Source organism: Homo sapiens, chromosome 2 (genome assembly GCF_000001405.40).
Source record: "Homo sapiens chromosome 2, GRCh38.p14 Primary Assembly".
Classification (NCBI taxonomy): Eukaryota; Metazoa; Chordata; class Mammalia; order Primates; family Hominidae; genus Homo; species Homo sapiens.
Window position 1 is genome coordinate 136,370,246 of NC_000002.12, and position 8,410 is coordinate 136,378,655.

Consider the following 8,410-nt stretch of genomic DNA (forward strand, 5'->3'; position numbering starts at 1 on the left):
GAGATATCACCTCACACCGTCTAAGATGGCTGTTACCAAAAAGATAAGAGAGAAGTGTTGGTGAGGATGGGGAGAAAGGGAACCCCTTGTGCACTGTTGATGGGCATCCAAATTGATTCAGCCATTATGGAAAATGGTATGGAGGTTCCTCAAAAAATTAAAAATAGAACTACCATATAATCTAGCAATTCCGCTTTTGGGTATATATCCAAAGGAAACAAAATAAGACCTCTTGAAGAGATACCTGTACTCCTATGTTCATTAGTTACAGTAACCAAGACACAGAAACAATCTAAATAAAGAGATACGGTACATGTACAATGCAGTATTGTTCAGCCTTAAAGAGGGAAATTCTTCCATATGCGGCAATGTGCATGAGCTTGACGGCTTTATTCTAACTGAAATAAGTCAGACAAAGGCAGATACTGCATGATTACACTTATATGTGGAATCTAAAAAAGTTGAACTCATAGAAACAGACTGGTGGTTGTCAGGGAGTAGGGAGAGGGGAGAAAGAAATGGGGAGATGTCTGTCAAAAGATACAAACTTTCAGTTATATGATAAAATTCTGGGGATCTAAGGTGTAGCATGATGACTATGGTTAATACTATATTATATACTTAAAATTTGCTGAGAGATCTTAAGTGTTTTCACTATTTATAAAAAATGGTAACTATGTGAAGTGATGGATATGTTAACTTGATTGTGGTGATCATTTCACAATGTTTACTTATATCAAAACATCATAATGTACTACTTAAAGATATACAATTTTATTTGTGAATTATACCTCAGTAAAGCTGGAAAGAAGAAAAACTCAAGAATGAGAGTTTAATTTCATCAAATGCTTTTCTTTACTTCTATATGTTTTTTTTTAAAAAAATTTATTGTACAGATTATATGAATAGATTTCCTAGCAATAAACCTTTCTAGGATAAAACCTACAGTCGGGATTTTTTGGTACATTGCTTAGCTTATTTTGTGAATAGTTTATGAAGTTTTTATGTGTTCCTGTGTTTGTGAGATTGGCCTATGGTTTTCGATTTTTATACCATCCTGTCTGGTTTTGACATCAAGGACATACTGCTCTCATAAAATGAGTAGGGAACATTCTCTTTTTCTCTTCTTTGAAGCAATTTGAATGAGATTGAAAATATGTATTTTTTATGTTTGTTAGAATATACCCATGGAATAATTTGTTTGGGTTTTTTGATGAGTATATTTGTGCATGTGTGTGCACGTGAGCCTCTCTGCTTGTATGTGAATATATTTTAAAGTACTGTTTTACTTCCTTTAATAATAGACCTATCTAAATTTCATACATATTCTTGGACAGTTTTGATAACATATTTTTCTAGAATATTATACCTTTTCTGGAATATTGTACCTTCAATCTAAGTGTTCAAATGTTCATAATTGTTATTCATAGTATTTTCTTATAATTTCTGAAAATCTCCGCTGCATTTGAAATTAGGTTCTTATATTTCTTCATTGGTGGTGGTTTGTGTGTGTGTAATTTTTAAATCGATCTTAATCTTTGTCAGAAGTTTGTGAAATTTACTTAGCTTTTTTCCAAACAAATGCTTTTGGTTTTGTTGACTTTTTCTGTTTCTCTTTTCTCTTTTATTATTTATTTCTCTACTCATCTTTATAATTTCATTTATTCATTTTTTGATGGGTGGGGGGTTTACTTTGTTCCTCTTTTCTCAACTTTTTGAGTTGGATAGTTAGCTCACTAATTCTTGGACTTTCTTCAGTTATATATGCATTCTATACAATTTCCTCTAAGTGATGCCTATGCTCTATTACCTGAAGTTTGACATATGCTATTTTTATTTCCTTTCAATGCAAATTATTTTCTAATCATTAAAATTTATTGACTCATAAATTATTTCCAAACACATGGGAGTTTGGAGGGTTGCCTTTTTTGTAGAATATTTTAATTTTTATTGTATTATGATCAGAAAGCATGGCTATGTGATATTTGTTGTTTGACATTTGTTAAGTTGACTGAATTGTAATACTATGTATTCTCTAATTCTTAGGTACAGGGATTTTGATATATCTATTAGATCAACTGTGTTAATCATGGTCTTCAAAATTTCTACAGGCTGTCTGTTATTGTATTTTCCTACAGCTTTCTTTTTATTTATTAGCTATTTAATTATTTTAACTATTACCAAGTTTCAGTTTGTAATTCTATTACCTCAAGTTGTTGAGAGTCTAATCTTGCATTTATAGTGTATTCTACCTTTTGTCTATGGTAGATTTCTCCTTGTGGATTTTGAAATTTTTAATTGTGAGGTTAACATTTTTCTTCCATGAATTTCTTTTGGCATTAATGGTTTTGCTTTTTCCAGCTGATCAGAATTATCACTGGCCTAGAAAAAATTTTTATGCTAATCTCTCAATGAAGAATTCCTAGAAAAGGTGAGTAAATTTGAACCCCAGGTCATTTGGGGGTTTCTAATTCCCAAGGGAGACATTTTTGCTCATCTAGAACACAGGCACAGACAGATAAGACTCCTTGTTTATCTGTGCTGACAGATTTTGTTCCAGTCTGTCTTTTCTGAGAGGGTATCAATTTTTGAGAGTTCCAGTTTGAGGGTTCTCAATTCCAACTCTCCTCCTTGCATTGGCCCAATATCTTGTCTCTTATACTTTTAAAAACCAAGTCGTCGTATTATTTCCCTTCTGGTAACTATATTATCAGCTCCTAAGTTGCCACTCTGGTTTTATGCTTCTCTTTGGCACCTGGAAATTTCTACTTTATTTTTATTGTGAGCCTAATCATATATTTAAAATATTTTTAAAGTTATATTTTGTGAAGAATTCTTGGTTTTGGGAGAAAGAACTTTCACAGTTGTCATTGGTCTTCATCTCAGTGTTCCATATTTCAGGAACTGGAATTCATCCTTAGAGTCTTTTAATTGTGAAAGATGAATGTTTCAGGACATCACAAGGCAAACACCTGTCAAAACGTTTTGACTGTTCATTTTCTACTGAATTCAACATCTCAACAGTATTTAGATAGGTGCTTCATTGCTGTCAGCCAGAATGAGCCAGAATTGTTCCTGGGTTGGTGCTGGGTAGAAGACCCTGGTGGGGGCTAGCAGCCTATAGGGGGGCCACTGGAGGGAAACTGAGCTGTGGTTCTCATATATGGAAGAGACATCTTATGTTCTTCTTTTTTTTTGGAGACAGAGTTTCGCTCTTGTCACCCAGGCTGGAGTGCCATGGCATGGTCTAGGTTCAGTGCAACCTCTGCCTCCTGGGTTCAAGAGACTCTCCTGCCTCAGCCTCCTGAGTAGCTGGGATTACAGGCGCCTGCCACCATGCCTGGCTATTTTTGTAATTTTAGTAGAGATGCAGCTTCACCATGTTGGCCAGGCTGGTCTTGAACTCCTGACTTCAGGTGATTCACCCACCTCGGCCTCCCAAAGTGCTGGGATTACAGGCATGAGCCACTGCGCCCGGCCTATCACCTTCTTAAAACCCCTTTCCTGGGGCAAAAAATAGCAGGCCCATGGTGAAATTTACTTGGATTTGTTTCCTGGAGAAGTCCTCTTTGATTTCTGCTTATGGGGAGACCCTGTTATAAGATTTTTCTTTGCTTATTCCAGAAACAATGGGCTCTCCCTGATCAAAAGAAAAAACAAGCAGAATTTCCAAATGGAGTGCCTCCAGGGGAGGATTTTTCTATGTTATTCATTCTCCCTCTGTGCAAATACAGAGATATATTATGGGGAAATATGCAGAGGCCTTAGTAGGTGTTCCTTGCTTAAGAAAAATGGTGACATTGATTAAAACCCTCTATTCCCATATAAAGGAACAATTATTACACAGCAATGCCAGGAGGTTCAGGCCCCATGTGGAGATTTCTTTGTGGCCTTCCCATGGTAGCCAGGAGCAATAATGCAGCCAGAAGAACTATAATTTCAGTGTCTTCTAAGTGCTAAGCCATGGTGTTGGGAATACAGAGATGGAGGAATCTTGTGGTCTTTACCCTGGAGGGGCTCACAGACGAGGTGTGTAGAAGCCACTAGAGAATTAAGAATGATAACAATCTGTAAAAGAGAATGTTGAGGAATTGAACTTCATCACAATTAAAAACTTTTATTCTTTAAAATACACTGCCAAAAGAATAAAAAGACAACCCACGGACTGGGAGAAAATATTTGTAAGCTACATATCTCATAAAGGACTTGTGTCAAAAATCTATAAAGAACACTCAAAAAACAAATACCCAATTAAAAAATAGGCAAAAGATTTGAAGAGTCATTTCAGCAAAGAAGATATATAGATGGCTAATAAGCACATTGAAAAGATGTTCAACATTCATCATTAGGAAAATGCAACTTAAAACCACAATAAAATATCACCACCGATCTATTTGAGTGGCTAAAATTAAAAAGATCGATCATATCAAGGGTTGGCTAGGATGTGGACTGCAGCCCTCATGCATTGTTGGTGGCAATGTAAAATGGAACAATCACTTGGTAAAATAGTTTGGCAGTTTCTTAAAAAATTAAGCACACTCCTATCATATATCCACCCACTTCACTCCTAGATATGTGCCCAAGAGGAAAGGAAATATATAACCACAAAGAGACTTGTACATGAATATTCATAGATGCTTTATATGTAATAGCTGCAAACTGGAAACAGCCCAAATGTCTACCAACAGGTGAATGAATAAACCAAATGGGGTCCATCCATATACCAGAATACCCCACTCGACAGTAAAAAAGAAATGAACTATTGACACACAGACAGATGGATGAATGTCAAAATAATTATGCTGAATATGAAAGAAGACAGACCAAAAAAAAGAGTACATGCTACATGATTTCATTAAATACAAATCTAGAAATTGCAACCTAATCTAGAATGAGGGAAAGCAGATGAGATGTCGTATGGGGATGTCGTTGAGGGAGGTGAGGGGAAGCATTACAAAGAGTCATACAGAAACTTTCAGAGGGGATGGATTGTTTACTATCTTGATTGTAGTGATGGTTTCATGGGTGTATACCTATGTGAAAACTTACAAATTGTTCAGTTAAAGTATATGCAGTTTACTGCAGTCCAATGATACTTCAAGAAGGCTACTTAAAAATAGGGTGATAGCACATTAGAAAAGGCATGTTCAGACTGCCATCAGTAGACAGTACCTGCGAGTATCTCTTGACTCAAACTAACCAGGGGTCAGGGAGAGGGGAGGACGGATCTGAGATTTGAAATTTGAACGCAGGTTATTCAAGGAAAAAGGAGTGAGGAAGGGCAGGAGGGGTGGAGGCCTCTCCATGTTGGGGCTATAACAAATGCCAAGGTCCAAGCATGTCAGAGTGTGGTGTGTTCAGAGACCTGCCAGTGGCTTGGTATGATGGAAACATAGGATGCTTATGAGCAGGAGAGAAGAGAAGAGGAAAGGAGAAGAGAGAAGAGGGGAGAGGCAGGAAATGACTGTCTCAGATCTCTTTCCATCTCTGGGTTTATGAAATTCTCATTATATGTCACTTACTTGTGTCACCAACTTGTCCAGGCATGCCCAGCCCTGCATACAAAATGAGATCAGAACTCCATTTATGTACAAATTACAATGGTACCACTCTCTAAGTGCCCTCCTGCCCAAAGTATGCCCTAGTTATTTGGCAAAATCCCTGAATGGGGCCTCATATGTTCTGGAAACAGTCTGCCATGTTCTGTTCTTCCTTCTCAGCTCATACTTTTTGCTATCTACTACTCAGGAAGCTGATTGACAGAGCTGCAATGATTTTCCTGTTCAAAGTGCCCGCTGGGAGTACTCCAGAGTTCATGCCAAGATGCATGAAATGCTGGGTGGGCCCAAAGCTTCCAGTTTCAGGTACCAGAACATGGAGACAATCTTGTCACAGATCTGCATTGTGTTAGGCTAGCTAAGTGAGAATTACCCTTTGGAGAATTCCCTTTTCTCTATAGGTCCAGGATAGCATTGCTCACGAGAGATATTTTGCGTGAGATCTGTAATGCGGGAGTAAAGCAGCAATAGTGTTTTTTCACTGCTGATCAGTGTAGGTGCCATGGCAGCCTGCCCATGTTTGTCACTGATCAGCTGTCTCGCTGGGGTGACTCTCACCAATCTCCTGCTTCTTTGAGTCCTTGGCCAGGTGTGTGTGCAGCTTTGTGGTGAAGGGGCTGGCATCCTGCAGCTCAGCCAGGGCATCGCATTGAGGCTGGAGGTGATAGATGCAGGTCCCACTTCATCCTTGTGGGCTTCAGTTTGTCCTTGCTCTTGTCGACAACCAGCTTTGCTTTGTGACTGCCAATCCAGCTGACCTACAGCAACTTCAAGGTCAACACTAGACACAGAGGGACCAGGCTGCACAGAAGGGTCTCTCACCTCCCCCAATATAATAAATCTCTTATTTTATATCACTCACAGTGGTTCCTCTTCCCTGAACCCTGACTAATTCAGGTTTCCTGCTCACCTTTGTGCCACCTGGATCTAGGAGCAGCTCTGCTTCCCTAAAACATTTGTAAAAGCTTCTCATGAAAGCCACATCTCCGAAGTCTGACAACCACCCTTCCACACAGAGACTCAAACCCCAGGTCTGGTTGTGGGGAGGTGCCAATACAAACCTTGCAATTTACTCACTTTTACCAACTCCACCCCAACCAAATGCCTTCCTCCTCTTTCAGTTAATAAAAACAAAAGCTCGCTGCACTTCCATGGGTGTGAACAGATGTTCTGTGTGGGCGTGAGTGCTGGTCCCCACCAGCTGCCTCAGGGCCTTGCTGCCCCAACAGCCCCCAGTGCCCTCCGAGACGTGATTAACTCCTCCCTGAGTCTTTGATTCTTCCGTTCAAAGAGTTCTGGCAACTTGACCCTTTGCTCATATGTCTTTGTTTTCACTCATTTCCTTTCCCGGCTGCTTTGCCAGGACTCTGGGATGGATTACAAGGCCTTGGTGAGGATCTATCTGACTGGAGTAGTGCACAGCGACAGACAGGAATATTGGCCTTTGTCTGCCATGCAATCCTATGTCTGGTAAATGTGATTTACAAGGCCCACAGAAAATGAGAAAATGCTTTTTATTATTGTTTTAGAGATGAGATCTTTGCTCTGCTATCAGGCTGGAGTGCAGTGGCGTGATCATAGCTCGCTACAGCATCAACCTCCTGGGCTCAAGCAATCCTCCTGCCTCAGCCTTCTGAGTAGCTAGGACTACAGGTGTGCACTACTACATCTGGCAAAATTTTTTTTTTAAATGGCAGGGTCTTGCTATGTTGCCTAAGCGGGTGCTGGTCTTGAACTCTTGGCCTCAAGCCATCTTCCTGGCTGAGCCTCCCAAAACATTGGGATTACAGGCATGAGAGCCACTGGGCCCTGCTGAAAGTGAGAAAATTCTAAAGGCTAGAACAGGATGAACTAGTAATAGAGGACTTAAGTTTGAATCTGCCTGTATGAGTCTCTCGGACTGTGGGCACGTCTCTTGCTATCCCTTCTCTGTAAAGAAGAGCCTGGAGAGTTTTAAGATTTCCCTCCTACTGCTCCCATGGGACATTCTGAATATGGTGAGAAAGTGCTCTGAGGTCTGAAAAGCAGTGTTGCCTAGTGCAGCTGTTTCTAAACCTCATTGGAACCCCCTCAGTTGGGTTACTATTCCTACACATATGCTAGAAACCAACACCACTTTCTAGCTCTGCCACCTCCTTTCCAAAATTTTAAAATCAGTAGGTGGAAGGTGATATGGCATCTGTACTTTAAAAACCAAAATAAGACCGTGGGTGATTCTGTTGATCAGCTGAGCGTGGAAACAACTGGTCTAGTGAACAGTAGATGAAGAAAAGGGTCTTACAAAATTTAGGGGTTCTGTCTATAAGGCCAAGAAAAATGGAAGCAATTATTCAGATAATCTCAGCACAAAACCACAGTTTCATTGGAATTGCGGGAATCATGAGTATCAGTTTCTGAGATACTTGGGTGGAAAGTATGTGGGTGGAGCCCAAATCTTATGTATTTAAATTCAGATCAAGCCTGTAGTAAAGATGACAGCGGTGGGAGATTGAGCAGAGAGGGGAGAATGGCATTTTCTGAATTCTCATTGTGCCACCATACATTCTGGATGTGTTGGGAGCCCCTTCATTTCACAGATGCTTATTGCTAGTAAGTACTATTGTAGCTCACAAACCATGAGTCGCCACGTTTGACATGGGAAAATGATGCTTGCTATTTATTTATAATACAACGTGTTTTGACTAACCATCAGAGAATATATTTTGAGGCAACTTTCCACTTTGCTTAGGATATAACATTTTTAATGCATCTTTCAATGGATATCTATTTTTAGGTCACCATTAGTTGCCTTGTAACTGAGATGGCCACATATTCACAGATATTTGGGGAGGCCCACAGATTTATTATTCTGC

At 39.6% G+C, this 8,410-nt stretch overlaps 2 annotated features.

Annotated features, from left to right (window-relative positions):
• Positions 5,294–5,373: an enhancer, noted in NCBI's record as "active region_16588". NCBI's record gives its function as "activates an Ori minimal core promoter by ATAC-STARR-seq in GM12878 lymphoblastoid cells {active_cell/tissue: GM12878}" and the evidence as "EXISTENCE:reporter gene assay evidence [ECO:0000049][PMID:35858748]".
• Positions 5,444–5,673: an enhancer, noted in NCBI's record as "active region_16589". NCBI's record gives its function as "activates an Ori minimal core promoter by ATAC-STARR-seq in GM12878 lymphoblastoid cells {active_cell/tissue: GM12878}" and the evidence as "EXISTENCE:reporter gene assay evidence [ECO:0000049][PMID:35858748]".